The sequence below is a fragment of the Homo sapiens genome, chromosome 16 (genome assembly GCF_000001405.40).
Source record: "Homo sapiens chromosome 16, GRCh38.p14 Primary Assembly".
NCBI lineage: Eukaryota > Metazoa > Chordata > Mammalia > Primates > Hominidae > Homo > Homo sapiens.
In genome coordinates, this window is record NC_000016.10 from 18,371,122 (window position 1) to 18,389,135 (window position 18,014).

An 18,014-nucleotide genomic window follows, 5' to 3' on the forward strand; every position below is an offset into this window, starting at 1 on the left:
GTTGGTTTATGCTGGTGTATGTACTTTCCAAAGTTAGTAAACTTACACTTAAGGTTATATATTTTGGCCAGGCGCGGTGGCTCACGCCTGTAATCCCAGCACTGGGAGGCCGAGGCAGGCAGATCACGAGGTCAAGACATGGAGACTATCCTGGCGAACACGGTGAAACCCAGTCTCTACTAAAAATACAAAAATTAGCCAGGCGTTGTAATCTGAGCTGCTCAGGAGGCTGAGGCAGGACCATTGCTTGAACCCCGGAAGCGGAGGTTGCAGTGAGCCGAGATCTTGCCACTGCACTCCAGCCTGGGCGACAGAATGAGACTCTGTCTTAAAAAAAAAAAAAAAAAAAAAAAAAAGTCATCAAACCAGATGACACAAATGAAATGACATTTCACTTTGTTTTGGTCCGTTTTGTTTGTTAGAGACAAGAGTGCAGCGGGGCCATCTCGGCTCACTGCAACGTCCAGCTCCTGGGCCCAAGCGATCCTCCCACCTCAGCCTCTCCAGTAACTGGGATAACAGGTACGCACCACCAGGCCCGACTAATCTTTTTTGGAATTTTTTGTAGAGATGGGGTTTCGCTATGATGCCCTGGCTAGTCTTCAACTCCTGGACTCAAGTGATCTGCCCACCTCAGCCCCCTAAAGTGCTGGGATTACAGGCCTGAGCTGTGTAATTTCATGCCGCGTGACACAGCCCAGTAAAAAGGAAGAAACCCCGCGGGTCCAGCGTCTACTCACACAGGTGGACTGATGGCTGATAAATCCCAGCAGGAGCCAAAAGAGCAGCCACAGCACCCATCTACTCACACAGGTGGACTGATGGCTGATAAATCCCAGCAGGAGCCAAAAGAGGAGCCAAAAGAGCAGCCACCGCACCCGCATGTCCTGGTCCTTTCAGGGCGCCCTGAGGCAGCCAGGACAGAGGTGGAGGTGGCTTAGGGCAGGGGGGAGGGAAGGGGACGGGGACCGGGCCCGATCTGAGTTGGGGAGGGGGAGGGGAGGGGGAGGGGAGGGGGAGGGGAAGGGGAGGGGAAGGGGGGAAGTAAGGGAAGGGAAAGGAGGAGAAGGGGGCTGTTGGGGAGGAGGAGGAGGAGAAGAAGAAAGGGGTCTGGGAAAGGATCCGGTTCAAATTAAGTTCTCAAGCGCTGGTGGAAGGTTTAGCTACAGGTCACGGAGAAGATCAGGGAAGCAACAGGACAGGCGGGGCAAGGGAGCGTGAGGCTTAGGAGCAATTAGGAGACAAAGGTTCTGCTTTCCACCAAACCTTCTTCGGTCTGGGCCCTCCCTTAGCAACCCTGGGGCTTTAGACTCTCTCTCCACCAATCCCTGATGACCCCGGTGGTGCCTCACAATGGACATTCCAAGTAGCGCCCGCATCATCCCAATGACCCCTCCCCCTTCTCAGTCCCCCACGCTCCTCCCAAGGCCAGGTCCTCTCTGGAACCTTCACAAACCTGATTTCTGGTCCTCCCCAACCAGCTCCCTGTCCCTGCTTCTGGGTGCTCCTTCCTTCCTGAGCTCCCAGGGTTCCTCAAGGTCACTTTTGGCGACAAAACATAAAAAACAAATGATGGCAGGATGGCAGGAAGAACCTCATACCCAAGCAGAGTGCCAGGTTTTACAGCCTCCGCTCAGCCATTCATATCCTAAGCAACAAAACATCAGCAGGATGCGGAAGGTCCCGATAGTAAACCATCTCCATCACATCCATGTAGCCATCCGTCCATCAACCTGTATCTCAGGAACAAATGTACATACATTCATTTTAAGCATGCATGGTACATTTACAAAAATTAACCTGACTTATTTTGTTCCAGCAAATCTCAATATATTTGAGAGCAATCAAATCACACAGCATGTTTCTGATCATAAAACTGTGCTAGAAGTCAATGATTAAAAGCTAATTCAAAATTATTATTTGCTTGGAAATTCAAAGTGCCCTTATAAGACATAAACATAAGAAAGAATCCAAAATGAAACAAGATTGCCTTTCAACTCAATGATGAGATCATAACATGGCAATAAAATGTCTCCCTCTGGCCTGGGAATTCCTCTTTGTGGCACAAGGTTGTGTGATCTCAAATCACCCCTAACCCACCTAGACATTTTAACATCCGAAACCGAGTGATGATGTCCTTATCTATATCATCTTACTGCCCGTGTGTGTGGACTTTAAATTCTGAACCCAAATGAGGGGGAGAAAACCAAGCTGACTTTCATGACTGAGCTCTCAGGGACGTCCAAGGAATCTGTGCATTTCAAGAAACAAAGTTCATCAGCTTCTCTCCTAAGGTATTTGCCCACAATACCCAGAGGGCTTGGCAGCATCATGTGTGATGGGTGGGGAGCTCCAAGCAGGTGGGCAGGACCCAGGGGCCTGGTGACCAGGACAGACCCCCACTGTCCATCACCTTTCCTGGCCCTGTCCTCAGCTAAACTTCCCACAGGCCTTCTGCCCGATCACACAGAGTGTGCCCAAACTCAGGCCTCTGGCAGCTGAAAACCACTGCTTTAAATCCCTTTACCATTTACTATGACATAAGGTTATTGTAAACAGGAAATATTCTATTGATGCTACAAATGGAAAGCCAATGCCTTTACCATAAATAGAAAAACAACCCTAAGAAGCAAGCAAAACAAAAACAAAACAGGGGCTGGGGGTGGTGGCTCACGCCTGTAATCCCAGCACTTTGGGAGGCCGAGGTGGGCGGATCACAAGGTCAGGAGTTCCAGACCAGCCTGGCCAATATGGTGAAACCCTGTCTCTAATAAAATACAAAAATTAGCCGGGTGTGGTGGTGGGCGCCTGTAGTCCCACCTACTTGGGAGGCTGAGGCAGGAGAACAGTTTGAACCCGGGAGGCAGAGTCTGCAGTGAGCCGAGATTGCACCACTGCACTCCAGCCTAGGCGACAGAGCGAGACTCTGTCTCAAAAACAGCAACAACTACAAACAAACAAAAAACAGGGTTAACAAAACTATGGAATTCAATTCTATTTATATGCTGCAGCCATGTTCCAGCCCTAGATTTGGCTGGGCATGGTGGCTCACGTCTGTAATCCCAGCACTTTGGGAGGCTGAGGCAGGCGGATCACGAGGTTAGGAGTTCGAGACCAGCCTCACCAACATGCTGAAACCCCGTCTCTACCAAAAATACAAAAATTAGCCAGGCATGGTGGCACACGCCTGTAATCCCAGCTACTCAGGAGGCTGAGGCAGGACAATCCCTTGAACCTGGGAGGCGGAGGTTGCAGTGAGCCGAGATCGTACCATTGCACTCCAGCCTGGGTGACAGAATGGAATGAGACTCTGTCTCAAAAAAAAAAAAAAAAAAAAGAAGAAGCCCTAGATTTCGGTTGTGTTGGTTGTAAAAGGAGAGACCCAGTAAGTGGGGGTCATGCCGCAGATTGCTACCCACAATGGACGGGTCACTGAGCAGGTCCGGCCAACTGGGCGTTCCCTCGCTGGAGGGCCAGCACACCAGACTGCAGGTGGCGCGGGTCAGCAAGGTACCAGGGGATGTGTCACACACACAGCCCACCCCCGTCCAGTCACGCACGGACACCCTGGGCTTCCGAGCAAACCTGCTCCCAGGTGGTGTGACCACATGGAGCCACAGACACCCAGCAAGGACACGCAGCCCGCACACCCCCGGTACTCCAGACACAGTGACCTGCACCAGGGCTCGAGGTTTCTCTAGGGAACCCACCTCTTAGAATCATCCAGAAACAAGTCACTCTTCATCTGTCCAGCAAAGGCCTGCTGAGAGGTGCACAGGGTCTTGAGTCCAAGCTGCGCCAAGGCGGCAGGACCCCCAGTAGAGCCCTCACCTCAGCGTGGAGGCCTGAGAACGTGAGGAAGGAGCTGTCCAGCACGGATGAGTCCAGGCAGCTGTCGACGTCCAGCACCTGCTGCCCGGCAGGTGTGGGGCTCGGGCTCCCAGCCACCTGCAGGACAAGGGCAGTGGTCAGCGGGCGGCAGCTCAGACCTGCTCAGGACAGGGATGAGAAGCCACCTCCTCAGCAGACAGGACAGAGCCCGGTGCCATCTGACAGAATGTCCTAGAATGCTAGATATATGGGACATCTGCACCGTCCGTGATGGCAGCCCCTCGCGACATGTGCCACTGAACACTTGACAGCAGACTGGTGCAGCTAAGGAACAGAGTTTTAAATTTCATTTTTTTTTTTTTTAGATGGAGTCTCGCTCTGTCACCCAGGCTGGAGTGCACTGGCGCAATCTCAGCTCACTGCAACCTCCACCTCCCGCGTTCAGGCGATTGTCCGTCCTGGCTCAGCCTCTTTAGTAGCTGGGATTACAGGTGCCTGCCACGATGCCCAGCTAATTTTTTGTATTTTTAGTAGAGACGGGGTTTCACTGTGTTGGCCAGGCTGGTCTTGGAACTCCTGACCTCAAGTGATCTGCCCGCCTCCGCCTCCCAAAGTGCTGGGATTACAGGTGTGAGCCACCACACCCGGCCATCGTTCCATTTTAATTAACTTAAATACGAGCAGCCACATGTGGCCTCTGGTTCCTGCCACGGACTCGGGAGCAACCCCTCCTGGTCGCGGCTTATGCGCCTTCTCTGTGTGCTGCTGGGGTTAGTTTGCATGTAACCTCTTGAGGACCCCACGTGTGCATTCCTAAGGGGTGCGGCCTCCCGTTTCCGTATGAATGGGAAGAGTTCCCACCTGCTGTATTCTTGGAAAGAGTCTGTGAAGGATTGGTGTTAATTCTTCCTTAACTGCTTAGAAAAATTCTATCGTGAAGGCTCTGAGCCTGGGCTTTTCTTTGTGGGATTTTTTTTTTTTTTTTTTTTGGAGACGGAGTCTTGCTCCGTTGCCCAGGATGGAGTGCAGTGGCGCAATCTCGGCTCACTGCAAGCTCCGCCTCCTGGGTTCATGCCATTCTCCTGCCTCAGCCTCTCGAGTAGCTGGGACTACAGGCGCCCGCCACCATGCCCAGCTGTTTTTGTATTTGTAGTAGAGATGGGGTTTCATTGTGTTGGCCAGGCTGGTCTCGAACTCCTGACCTCAACTGATCTGCCCGCCTCGGCCTCCCAAAGTGTTGGGATTACAGGCATGAGCCACCGTGCCTGGCCCTTTTTAATGTTTTATATAGATGGGGTCTTGCTATGTTGCCCAGGCTGGTCTCAAACTCCTGGACTCAGATCCGCCCACCTCGGCCTCCTGAAGTGTTGGGATTACAGGCGTGAGCCACCACACCCGGCCCGGCCACTGGGAGGTTTCTAAGGGACTAACTCGGCCTCTTCACTTGCTATAGATGTACTGAGATTTTCTTCTGGAGTGCATTTCGGAAGCGTGCACAGCCGCGTGCTTGCTTCTTCTGAGTTATCTGGCGTGCTGCTGTGCAGTTGTCCGTGGCGTCTGCTTAGCGAAGTGCCCTCGTTCTTTCACGATTCTGGCTTCTGAGTCTTCTCTCTTTCTCCCTGGTCAGTCTAGCTAAGGCTGCTCAAGTGTGTTGACCCTTCCCGAGCAGCCTTTGGTGGACGCCTTTCCCTCTGGCTGCAGCACTGGAAAGTGGCGGCCCTGGGCATGGTGCCGAGGCCCAGGCTCCATTCCCAGTACTCCCGGGTCCCCAGCCCCAGCCCACCTTGCTCCGGGACATCCGGAAGAGAAAGAGGATGGCCAGGTAGACGGGATAGACAACCACGCTGGACACCAGGCCAACAGCGACTGTGTCGACGCTCAGCGGGTTCAGCCTGGACACACGCCCCGTGCTGTGTGGAGGAGAGGAGGCCACACAGGTGAGGCTGAGGGGCAGGAAGGGCTGGGCAGGAAGAGGCTGTCCCGACCCCTACGGCACCCACCTGTAGGCAGAGTCTCCAACAGCCCCGTACCACACGGCGTTGGCGCCCAGGAAGAGACAGATGAGGAGATCGCAGCAGGTGGCCCTCTGGATGCGAGTGAAACAGCTACGAGGCGGCCGGTCCCATATGGAGAGCCAGATGTGCTTGTCAAAGAAGCCACGCTGCAGCTCAGCCACCAGCAGGCGCCGGAAGCGCAACAGGGCTGCGTGACCTAGAAGGCAGGGAGGGCCGCACTGCAGGAGGCCACGGGGCAGGACCACCCTGCCCAACCTCCCACGGAGTGGGAACACGGAACGAGGCCTTACTCGCGGCCAGCACCTCCTTCTCCACCAGGCCCCCGTTGGCCTCCGTCTCCACCGAAAGCCAGTCATTGACCAGGAAGAAGGTGCTGCGTGCCGTCTGCAGGTCCCTGACGATGATGTGCTGCAGGAACCAGGCAGGGCTGAGCCCTGCAGAGGCGCGGGAGGGAGGTCAGGTTCGCAGGGCGCCCCAATGCAGGGGCAGAGGGGCAGAGCTTGGCAGGGTCCATACAGACCTTTGTTGTCGTGCCACACTCGGATCTTCCACATGCTACCCAGGCTGTGCGGGGTGGCGATCTGGAAGATGTCCAGACTGTTGCGGTGGAAGGCTCTGTCGCCGTCCAGGTGCCGGTGGCCGCTCCGGCTGTCCACCCCATACAGCATGATGCCCACGTGGGCCGTGGTACCTGGAGGGCAAGAGGGAGGGGTGGGAGGCTCGGTCTGCTGCCCAACACGTGTGGCATCCCAGGCAAGTCATCTCAGCTTTGGCCTCCGCGCACTCAAGGAGCCACACAGGCAGTCCCGGCTTTGCACAGCTCTGCTATACACGAGGAGCTGCGGTTACTGCAATTTGTCCAATAAACAGCAGGACCTCAAGGACATGATTAAGTTACATGGAAAGAACTGTAACTTGTAACATGCAAACATGGCTGCACACGCCTCAGTCCACACCACAACCAGTGACCCGCACTGCACACCTGTCCACACCTCAGTCACGCCACAACCGGTGACCTGCACCACACACCCGTCCCTCAGTTCATGCACAGACTGCGAAGCGTGAAGCTGTGTCACCTCCTCTCCCAGTGACAGACCCAGGTGACAGTATTTTTTTTTTTTTTTTTTTTGAGATGGAGTCTTGCTGTGTCACCCAGGCTGGAGTGCAGTGGCGCAATCTCAGCTCACTGCAAGCTCCGCCTCCCGGGTTCACGCCATTCTCCTGCCTCAGTCTCCCGAGGAGCTGGGACTACAGGCGCCTGCCACCACGCCGGCCTAATTTTTTTGTATTTTTTAGTAGAGACAGGGTTTCACCGTTAGCCAGGATGGTCTCGATCTCCTGACCCCGTGATTAGCCTGCCTCAGCCTCCCAAAGTGCTCGGATTACAGGTGTGAGCCACCGCACCCGGCCGACAGTTTTTAAAAGTAGGTAATCAAAAGAAAGAACTGGGAAATGAAGATGAAAGCAGCATGGAAATAAAAAATGGGAACACGGCCAGGTGTGGTGGCTCACACCTGTCATCCCAGCACTCTGGCAGGCCGAGGCAGGCGGATCACCTGAGGTCAGGAGTTCGCCTGGCTGACATGGTGAAAAATTAACTGGGTGTGGTGGTGTGCACCTGTACTCCCAGCTACTCAGGAGAATCGCTTAAGGGGAATCGCTTAAACCCAGGAGCTGGAAGTTGCTGTGAGCCAAGATCACGCCATTGCACTCCAGCCTGGGCAACAGAGCGAGACTCCGTCTCCAAAAAAAGAAAAACGAAAACAAAAAGGGAATGCCAGAAGGGCAATTCCAAAGAAAGGAAAATGGAGGTATTGAAGAAACAGCCACGGGGAGGGTGCTGGCGCCTCCGTCTGAGAGACGAGCTATGCAGTCAGGATCGCGGGTGGATGCATGGTCTCCCACAGTGGTAGCGATGCTCACGTAACTTGTGGGGCTACGCTACTGTGTAGAACGTGGGCTGCCCACCCTGACTGACTGGCACCTACTTCCAGCTAGGAGCTGTCCTAGTCCTCAGGGACAGTGAGTGCTCACGAGGTCATTCCCAGGATGAACACACGAGCCCTTCACACAGCACTGCAAAAACTGCCTTGTTCTGACGCCTGCGACGAGACTCACTCCCAGAGGGTGCAACCAGCACAGCCAGTGAGAGCAGGGGAGGCCCTGCCACCCCGCCGCGCCCCTCACCTGAGCCCCGGCCCCAGCCTGTCTTGACGAGGATCTCGTACTTGAAGCGGCCCCGCTGCCCACAGAAGGGGATGGCGCAGCCCCGGCTGGCATCCAACTGGTCCAGCTTGTGCAGGATGGCGGCCATGACCATGTAGGTCACCAGGCACACAGCACATGTCAGCATGACGATGTAGTTTACATCCGCTGTTGGCTCCTGTGAAGACACAGCCGCCAGGCCCAGGAGGTCACGTGCAAGCTGTGCCTTCTCAGGATAGAGCCGAGCCCACCCAGGCCCTCCTCGACTCTGCAGAGGCTCCCAGGAGCACAGGGTCACTCACAGGAAACACAAAGCGGATATGGCTTGGGGGCACGAAGAGGCTGGTGCCGAAGGCGGTGAGGTGGCGGGTGAGGCAGACGGCCTGGCGGGGCGAGGTCTCCTCCAGGGGCAGCAGCCCCTCTGTCCGCCACACCACGTCCTCCTCGCTGAAGTACTGGCACAGGGACGTGTACAAGCCCACGGACACCTCCAGCGCCGACCAGCGGAAGTGGCTGGAGAGGTTCAGACGGTAACTCCCCACTGGGTCTCTGGTCCTGGGAAGGGAAGGGGCAGTGGACGTGAGCCCAGGCTCCGCCAGGTTGGATGTCGGAGTCCCAGAGCCCATACCCGGTCCAGTCCCCTCGCTGCCTGCCGTCCCCACGGGGCCCGTAACCCGGGCAATGCTGACCCATGATGCCCTGCCCTGCCCTGCCAGGCCGGCCCGCAGAGCTCACCCCGGGGAAATGAAGAAGGTGTAGGGCCGGTGGTCGGCACCCTGGAGGGACTCTGGGCGGATCCTCCTGCTAGCCGAGCAGTTGCGCTCATTGGGCCGGGGCTCCGAGTGCAGGTAGACTGCCAGGTAGGGCTCGGGTTCCTCAGACAGGTAGCGGCCTGGGGCAGAACGCGCAGGTCACACGCCTGCCGGGAAGCTCAACCACCCGGGGGACACCCACGATGGCCCTCCTGAGCCCACCCTCTGCCATGGGCCTGAAAGGCCATAGGAGCCTCTGCACCAGAGCTGGCACCTGCTTCTCCGTGGCCCCCAGCTCCTCTCCGGCCAGGCCCCCAGCAGCCCATGAAACAGAAAGCAAATTTCACCAGAGACACCCATGGAAGCCCTACGAGAAACGCCTTCCCCCCAAGAACAAGGCCAGGGGGCCGCGTGTGCCCCAACCGCTGCATGCACCGTCCAGCAGCGTATAGTTGAGCTGCAGATGCAGCACGGCCGCAGGGTTGCTGCTGTCCAGGGTGACCACAGCACCGACGGAGGCCTGGGGCTGGACCACAACGGAGTTGGCGGAGCTGCGGTGGCCCCGGGCAGCCCAGTCCGAGTTGTTGGGCACCTTCACGGTGAGGCGCGCTCTGAGGCCAGCCGCTCGATGGGGATCTGGGCGCCGGCCTGTGTCTGGAACGCCATCGAGGCCACCTTGGTGGAGACGGTGTAGTTGCTGATATAGCCAAAGGGAAAGGGATTGGAGTCCACCAGAAAGATGAGCTGCACCACGTCACTGAGGTTGGCCGGGGCCCTGCTGAAAGCCTAGGGGATGGAGAAGTGGCAGCCAGGCCCTGGGGCGCCGCCATAGCACAGCAGGCTCCGCGGGTCCGAGCGCTTGCCCTGGGCCACGATCTCCTCACCCGCCAGCGTCAGGGGCTCCTCGTTGAGCACGCGGGAGCGCGTGACGATGGGCGTGAGGGCAGAGGTCAGGTTGTAGGCCTGGGACGCCACCATCCGCGATGGTGACTCGGCTCCCAGCTCTGAGCGCTGTGGTGCCCGCACGTCTGAGCTGGCCAGGTGGATGAGGTCTCCTGCAGACAGGCGTGAGGTCAGTGCAGAGACAGGGAGGCAGAGGGAGGGTGGGGGCAGGCAAAAAGGGGGAGCCGGAGGGTGGGGACTGGGAGAAAGGGGGAACCTGAGGGGGCAGAGAGCGAGGTGCAGGCAGAAGGAAGAGGGAAGCTGGAGAGAGAGTGGTGGAGGGGGAGGGGGAAGGGGATGGGGATGAGGACGAAGATGAGGGGGATGATGGGGAGAGGGAGGAAAAAGGAAGGAAAAGGGTAGAGAAAAGAGAAAGGGGAGAAGAAGAGGAGCAGGGGGAAAGGGAGGGGAAGGGGATAAGGGGGATAAGGGAGGGGAAGGGGGATAAGGGAGGGGAAGGAGGATAAGGGGGATAAGAAAGATGAGGGGAATGGACAAAAGGACGGGGAGGATCGGGGGGGAAATGGAGAAAAGGGGAGAGAGATGGAGAAAAGGGAGGGATGAGGTGAGGGGAAGCTCTAGGGGAGGGGAGGAGGGGAAGGGCTAGGGGAGGGGAGGGGCTAGGGGAGGAGGCAGGGGCTAGGTGAGGGGGGAGGGGCTAGGGGAGGGAAGGGGGAGGGGAGGGGTTAGGGGAGGGAAAGGGGAGGGGAGGGGCTAGGGGAGGGAAGGGGGAGGGGAGGGGAGAGTGGAGGGCACAGAGCAGCATCTTCTTAGTCCCTCCCCACATCTGGGCCCCTCTTTACACCCTGGGTCCCCCGAGAGGCACCCTGCGTTCACACAGGACAGCAGAAAGGCTGAGGCTACTGAAGCAGGTCAGAGACCGAGGAACGCCACGGCAGGAAGGAGCCCAGGCTGGAGGCTCAGCTCCTCGGCCAAGCTGCCCGTCTGCCCTGGGGGGCTGAACCCAGTACCCTGGCAGGCATGCGGGGCGGGGTGAGCATGTGGGGCCATCCTACCATGCACTGGGCCAGCGCAGCAGCGATCTGCTGGATGTCATCCACAGTGTGGACCCTCAGGGACACCAGAGTCTCCGTGATGTTCTTGCGTATCTGGGCTCGGCGCTGCCGCTCGTGCTTGGGCTCTGCCGCCACGTCCAGGGCCCGCTCGTACTGGGGCAGGCAGGGGGCACAGCAAGCTGTCAGCAGGGCAGGAGGCCGGCAGGAGGCCAGCAGATGCCCACGACTCCCGGGGTGCAGTTACGTGCTAGATGCTGTGTGATGTGGGCACTGACCCGCAACACTGAGCTGTTTCTTCATGGGCAAAACAGGGTAAGCACATGGGCCCTCCTGGGCGGGGGCTGCATTGTGGAAAGCAGACACCGGAGAGGGCCCGGTGGGTGTGGCTGCTGGGAGCGGAACGTCGGGGTGCTGCTTCAGGGTCACTGGGATTTATCTCTGGGGCCCGGGATGAGCCCTCCGCAAAGCTCCAGGCAGGGGAACAGGTCTTGGTCCCCAGCACGCATGCAGCAGATGTGAGGTCCCCTCCCAGGCTGCACTCACCTCGTTCAGCACAGTGACCAGGGCCAGCGAGTACTCGATGACGTGCTGGGGATCGGCCTGCCGCAGCAGCCCCGGGAGCACACTAGCGGTGAGCCCGTGCAGCCAGACTGTGAGCCCCATTGCGCTGCCGTTGGGCTCTGGGAGGGTGATGGCCAGAGACCTATGAGCAGAGGGGGTTGGTGAGCAGGTGGCAGTCTCGGGGGCGCCCTCCCACGGCCTGGCTCACCTGTTGAGGGCGACCACAGCGGCTCCCAGCTGGTCCTGCACCACCACGGCCAGGCCCACCTCGAAGTGTGGCCTGAAACCCGGGGGCAGCACGGCTCCGTAGCCGGAGAGGCTGCTCTTGTAGACACAGAACTCTTTGCAGTGGCCCTGGCAACAGCGCTGCAGCAGCAGGGCGTACACCAGCGGGGCGCCAGCATCCTCCGCGTCATGCCAGCCTGAGGGATGGTCCCCACAGCATCACGGGAGGGCTCCGTGACGTCACAGAGTCGGGGGATCCCGCTGCTCCCCCTACGCAGGCCTGCACTCACCCGTGCATTCGAAGTGCACCTTGGTGGTGAGGGCGTGCACAGCGCCCAGTGGGAAGAGGCGGCAAGAGCCCTCCAGCGGCGGGCGGTTGGGGGACAGGGGGATGGAGGCACAGCCCTCCTCCTCGCCAGAGCGGCCCAGCACCGTCAGCGTGAAGGTGTATCCCTCGCCGTCCCGCAGCACGCCCCGCCGCAGCACCAGTCACATGCCTGCGCTGCCCGTGGATGTGGTGGTCTCATCCAGCACCAGTGTCTTGTTGCTGAACGTACGTGCAGCCCACCGCTGCAGGCAGAAGGGATGGTGAGGGGTCGCAACCCTCTGCCCTGTCAGCCCCACTTCTGCCTGCAGGCCCCGTCCCCTCGGCCATGGGACCCATCCCCAACCCGCCCACACCCCGCTCAACACTCACCCCTCGCTTGGAGCCGCTGCTGCAATTGAGGCAGCGGCCCTCCAGGTACACGTAGGAGCTGCGGCTCACTTCGTACACGGCCTGTGCCTTGCAGGACACACACTCCAAGGACACAATGGGCACCCGGCCACTCCGGATCAGCACCTGGCGTGGGAGTGGGGTTACCTCCAACACAGGTCTATTTGGCCTGCTGGAAGGTCTGGGGGACCCGTGGAGGATGCTGCTCCCAAACTCCAGGTTTCCCAGGGGCCTGGCCACTGCCGGTGAGCTCACCCCCTCCCAGGATACTCATCCGGTTTGCCACCTTCCAACCTGGGCGGCGGAAGGGCATACACAGGGCAGAGGACACTGGGGTGTGTGTTCTGGTGTACTGGACCCAGCTGGACCCTGGCAGGAGGCAGGCAATGCTCACTGAGGGCCCCTGGGGGGATGCGTGTGGGAACAGACGTATGTGTGGGTGTGAGGACCGCAGTTGCCACGTAGGCCTGACTCACAGACTCCTGCAGCCCTTAGCCAGGGCCTGGGTCAGGAGGCTGAGCCGGGATGGAACCTGCTCCCACACCCTCCCCTCAGACGACCCCTCTGGGCAGACCCCCAATCAGGCCCGTTGAGGAAAGCAGGGACTGGGGAACAGACACCCACTCTGGGGCACCAGCAGGCCCCGCCTGACAGCAGCAGGAGCAGCCACCATGGGCTCAGGGTCACCAAGCCTCCTGGCCGGTCCAGAGTGGGGAGCATGAGGGTGAGAACCGGCCCACCACATCCAGCAACAGGGACATGGGCTGGGGACAGTGGCTGCCTCTGGGGTGGGAAGGGGCTCTTCCTCACTGTTGGTATTGCTGGGGGACTGTGTAGCTTTTGTCACTAGAGCATATGTGGCTTGAAGACTGTATGTGGAACTGTGGCAGGTTTGGAAGGAAGCAAAGCTGAAGCAGGCTGTCGTGTTACATAGAATTTGCATCAGAAACAGAGAGGGGAGAGCGCGCGGCCTCCACCAGCACTAAAACACGGAAAACAGTAGATGAGCAGGGAGGCTGGGCTGTCCAAGGCAAGTGGCCGAGGGGCGGGCGGCACCCACCGTCTGGTTGGTGGCCTCCTCCTTGCGGCCGGCCTTCCACACGGTGAGGCTGAAGGTGTACTCCACGCCAGCTGCCAGCCGTTCCCGTGGAATGGTGACCGTGCTGCTCCCGCGGGGCCCAAAGTTCAGCGCACACCCGCCAGCCTCCCTCTGCAGGCCGAGAACAAGGGGCGACGTGGCCCGAGAACCCCATCCAGTTTTAAAGCAGAGCCCGGCCCAGGAGACAGTGCGGGAGACCCCCTCCCCATGCTGGGACGGGGCCCACCAGGCACTGAGGACGGGCCAGCCCTGGTGGCAAGCTGGGTGTTCTCTGGGCTCATGGGTGTGGACGGGTGAGGGGCAGGGAGGACGGCCCTGCCACGCACTGACCTGTGTCGAAGCCACACAGGCCCACTGGAAACTGAGCGGCGTCTGGTCGCCGTCCTCCAGGTTGGGGTCGTAGGACTCGCTCCCATCCAGCACCAGGTCCTGTGTGTCTGACCACACGCGGTAGGAGCCACCCTCAGTGATGGGCACCAGGCGCTCGGGGGCCACCGTCACATTGGCCTGGATGCTCCGTGCCAGTGGCGTGTCCCCAAATGACACGACAAACACAAAGCAGTAGTGCCCCACAGGCAGCGCCAGCCACGGCAGCACCAGCTGAGGCCGGCTCACGTCCACGCCGGGCAGGGCCACACGCGCCGGGCGCCCCGGCCGCTGGCAGCTGGCGGTGCGGTACACCTCCCAGCGGTACTCAGTCTGGTAGGTGACACAGTCGCGCAGGTCAACGTAGGCATCCAGGCAGTTGCGCTGTGATCGTCGCATCAGCACCTGCAGGGGCAGGACCACGTCCACCTCCGGCTCCCGGCAGGCCAGCACCTGGACGGTCACCGTGGCCTGCGCCACGAAAAAGCTCACCAGGTTGGAGGCGTTCACCTGCACGCGGTAGTCCCCAGGCCTCAGGTAGGAGTGCTCGGCCCTGGGCTCATCTGTGTCCTGCCCTGGGGACCCATCCCCAAAGTCCCAGTGGTAGGCCACGCGCCGGGGGCTGGGGCTGGTGGCGGCCTCAAACTGCGCCGAGCGGTTGGTGAAGCAGGGGCCGCTGCGCAGGGCCACATACTGGACGGCGTCCTGAACCTCCAGCACCAGCGTGCGGTTCTCACTGCCCAGGGCGTTGAAGGCACGCACCTGGATCTCCAACAGCCCCGCGGCCACGGCGTGTAGGTGACGTCGCGGCCCGACAGGATGAACAGAGAGTCGCCCCGGACCTTCTGCAGCGAGAAGTACCAGGCGTAGGCGACCCGAGAGCCGCGCTGCACGCGGGCTGTGAAGTTCCTCTCAGTGCCCATGGCGATGCCAGGCTCACAGCAGTTGGGCACCTGCAGCCCGCTCACGGCCTCCAGCACCACGATGCGCACCTGCGCCTGGGCCCAGCTCACGTGGTTTTTGCCCTGCACGCTCACCACGTGGTCTCCGATGCGGGGGAAGCTGTGGGAGAAACGGGGCCCAGGGAGCACTTCGGGGCTGGCCCCGCCGACCTGCAGGCGGAAGGTGACAGCTGAGCCGGCAGCCAGCAGGATCTGAAAATGGACAAGCTGCCCGGGCGCCACCACCTTGCTGCTGGCCCACAGCACCAGGCCCACGATGGGCTCCTCCACCGTGAGGTTGTACGTGGCTGAGACCCAGCTGACTGCGTTGGAGGCATTGAGCCAGATGTTGAAGGTGCCAGCATCCGGGAAGACCATGGTGACATGAGGGCCACGCTTGCTGCTGCCGCCGGGCACAGCCCAGCACCAGCTCACATTGGTGCCCGTGGCCAGCTGCCCCCAAAAGGGCACAGAGGACCCGGCCGCCACGAAGCTGCCTCCCGGCTCGCTGGCCCTGATGCTGAGGCCACTCACAGGCACCTGCACATCCACTTCCACGGTGGCGTTGGCTGAGCCCAGCGGGTTCCCTGCCGTCATGGTGACCAAGTGCAGGCCGGGTGTGGGGAAGCTGTGGGTGGTAAATGGCTCGGGGGTCTCCCAGCTCAGCCCCTCCTCCAAGGACCAAGTGTATACGACACCACTGCCACCAGCCAGCTCGGCACTGAGGGTGACGCTTGTGTTGACGGCAGCTGGGTTCGGGGAGGCGGCCACCATCAGCCACCCCACAGGCTCCACGAAGTCCACGGTGCAGTCAGCCCAGGCGCTGCCCAGCATGTTGGTGGCCCGCAGCTGCACATGGTAGGAGCCGGCCTCGAGCGCGGTGAGCGAGAAGCCTTTGCCGCTGCCGGCCAGGGCCGGGCCCCTGTCCCTCCAGGCAGTCCAGCTGTAGGAGATGGTGCCGTCCCTGACCACGGCCTGCAGCTGTACCATGTGGTTGGTGGGGAAGTAGCGGCCACCGCCCACCACCTGCAGCCCCTCTATGAGCTGCAGGACATAGACGAAGATGCTGTCCTGGGCGGAGCCCACCTCGTTCTCAGCTGTGACGATGATATTGAAGGTGCCCACGGAGCGGAAGGTGTAAAGAGATGGCAGGACCCCCAGAGATGGGCGTGCAGCGGTCACAGAGCACCCAGGAATAGCGCACATCACTGCCGGCCTCCAGCGAGGTGCTGAAGCTCATGCTCCCATTCAGGGGCACCACCGTGCAGCTGGCATTGACGATGAGCCCCCGCACGCGCCGCTTCACCGTCACATTGAGCCAGGCCTCGCTGCGGCTCACCTCATTGCAGCCGGCCACCCTAACGGTGAAGTCACCTGTGCTGTTGTAAGCGTGGGTGACCTCCGGACCCTCGAGCCGCCCACCGTCCCCCAGATCCCACAGGTAGCTGGCGGGGCGCCCACGGCCCACAGCAGAGAACAGGTACGGCTGCTGCAGCTCCAGCCCAAGGGAGCCATTGACCTTGATGCTGGTGACCAGCACGGGCTCCTGCACCTCCACCAGGGCTGAGTCATTGGCAGCGGAGATGTTGTTGGACGCGGTGACTGTCACAAGATAGGAGCCTGGGTCTCGGTAGATGAACGTCACCTCAGGGCCCCCGACACGGGCGGGGACGGCTTCTTCGGTGCCAAAGTCCCAGGTGTAGCGGTAGGGGAACGGGGGCCAGGCACATGCCACCAGCCGGGCCTCGTCCCCGAGCTGCACAAACTGCCTCTCTGGCTGCAGGGTGACGTTGCCCACCTCTGGCTCCACGCAGATGCTGGTGAAGTAACGCGCCCTGTTCACGCGGCTGGACAGCACCAGCGCCAGGGGGAACGTGCCGCTACGCGTGAAGTTGTGTGTCACCGTCGGGCACCCCCGCATGGTCGTGTTGGAGGAGCCATCCCCAAAGGTCCAGTCGAAGAGGTAGCGGGCCGGGTTCCCGGTGACGTAGGCCGTGAGCCGCGCGTCAGGCTGAGTGGGGATGCAGGCGGCGGGCTCGACGCGCAGCACCTCCAGGACGAAGACCAGCACGTGCAGGCTCCGGGCCAGGTGGCCGGCGGGGCTGGCCGCACCCACGGTCACTGTGCAGTTCTGTGCCCGCAGGTACACATGCTCCACTGTGGCCTCTGGGCCCGACAGCACGGTGCCGTCCCCCATGTCGAAGGTCCACGTGATGTTGTCGCCCGTCTGCACCGCGGCACTGACCACCACGGGGGCGCCCTGCTCCACGGCCAGGCTCATGTCCACGCTGAGCCCGCGGAGCTCCTCAAAGACGCGCACATCCGCCTGGGCCGCCGCACCGCTCACCGTGTTGTTGACCTCCAGGCGCACGTGGTAGATGCCCCTCGAGGGATAGGTGTGGTTGGCAGCCGGCTGGCTCTGGGTCAGGACAGGGGAGCCGTCCCCGAAGTCCCACGTGTAAAGAACACCCCCAGGCGAGGGCAGCAGATGCGGGTAGAAGGTGACGGGCCGGCCGGCCACCAGGACGCCGTCACTCACACCCACAGCCTCGGAGGGCAGGGAGGCGCGCACGCTCACAGGCACCTGCTGCATCCGGTTCTCGAAGGCATTAGATGCCAGCACGGTCAGGACGTACTCACCTGTGGGGACAGGCCCAAGTGGGGCAGCCGCGGCACCCCCACCTGCTCCCCACCCGCTCGGCAGAAGCCCCCCGCCTGAGGAGCCCGGGGTGAACGGCTGCACCTGCGGCCCAGCCTTAAGGGTCCCAGGCTCCCAAGCCACGTGCGGGACGGAGCACAGGTGCAGCAGCACTGAGGGCTGCCTGGTGAGGACGGCACCGCCTCCAAGTGCAGCTGCACTCGGGGCAGCAGAGCAGCAAGAGCCAGGCCGCGGCGGGGGGCAGTTCAGGGGGCCCAGCTTCCCTGTCCACTCCCCCCACGCCTGGCCCCTCCCTCACCCCAGTAGGGACCTAAGCCATCAGCCCAGGTGAGGTCACAGTGAGGGCTGTTGGGGAGGAAGGGGGGCAGCTTGACTGGGGGACTGGGGGTGCCCCGTGCTCAGAGCCTGAAAGGCAGTGGCCCCCTCACCCCCTCATCCCTCACCTGGGGCAGCGTAGGTGTGCGTGACATTGTGCTCCACCAGCACCTGGGCCACCGAGGGGTCTGGAACTGGGAAGGACTCGTTGTACGGAGGCTGGAACTGGTGGAGGGCCTGCTCCCCATCCCCAAAGGTCCACCTGCCGGGGCGGTGGGAGGCAGTGAGTGAACCGGGACAGGGGTGCGCAGTGGCGGGGCACAGGTGCGCGGTGGGGGGGCAGGGGGTGCTTGGGACCCAGCTGAGGCTCCA

General features: G+C 60.9%; 1 protein-coding gene, 1 non-coding gene and 2 pseudogenes across 4 annotated transcripts in view; all 4 read right to left on the bottom strand.

Annotated features, from left to right (window-relative positions):
• Nucleotides 1-5,718, bottom strand: part of NPIPA9 (nuclear pore complex interacting protein family member A9) — an 18,750-nt gene extending 13,032 nt beyond the window's left edge. The window contains exons 1-3 of one of the 2 annotated variants that reach the window (NM_001405004.1): nt 5,615-5,718; nt 3,711-3,948; nt 1,602-1,733 (exon numbers count right to left, since the gene is read on the bottom strand). In NM_001405004.1, the coding sequence (NP_001391933.1) occupies nt 1,602-1,664 (63 nt within the window). In that variant the 5' untranslated portion in view covers nt 1,665-1,733; nt 3,711-3,948; nt 5,615-5,718. Of the gene's footprint in view, nt 1-1,601; nt 3,051-3,710; nt 3,949-5,614 lie in introns of those variants that run through there. The other variant, NM_001401710.1, reaches the window with a different exon arrangement.
• Nucleotides 1-18,014, bottom strand: part of PKD1P5-LOC105376752 (PKD1P5-LOC105376752 readthrough) — a 43,821-nt pseudogene that overhangs the window by 13,017 nt on the left and 12,790 nt on the right. The window contains exons 14-31 of the transcript NR_146331.1: nt 17,771-17,904; nt 13,692-17,308; nt 13,323-13,472; nt 12,245-12,388; nt 11,838-12,117; nt 11,531-11,744; nt 11,305-11,464; nt 10,762-10,914; nt 9,688-10,540; nt 9,396-9,589; nt 8,787-8,943; nt 8,354-8,606; nt 8,034-8,229; nt 6,367-6,537; nt 6,137-6,280; nt 5,832-6,042; nt 5,615-5,741; nt 3,711-3,948 (exon numbers count right to left, since the gene is read on the bottom strand). The product of NR_146331.1 is annotated as a PKD1P5-LOC105376752 readthrough (transcript). The remainder of the gene's footprint in view (nt 1-3,710; nt 3,949-5,614; nt 5,742-5,831; nt 6,043-6,136; nt 6,281-6,366; nt 6,538-8,033; nt 8,230-8,353; nt 8,607-8,786; nt 8,944-9,395; nt 9,590-9,687; nt 10,541-10,761; nt 10,915-11,304; nt 11,465-11,530; nt 11,745-11,837; nt 12,118-12,244; nt 12,389-13,322; nt 13,473-13,691; nt 17,309-17,770; nt 17,905-18,014) is intronic.
• PKD1P5 (polycystin 1, transient receptor potential channel interacting pseudogene 5) overlaps nt 3,400-18,014 on the bottom strand; it is a 27,494-nt pseudogene continuing 12,879 nt past the window's right edge.
• On the bottom strand, nt 8,230-8,289 carry MIR6770-3 (microRNA 6770-3). Its single transcript, NR_107061.1, has one exon. It is a non-coding gene; the product is annotated as a microRNA 6770-3 (primary transcript).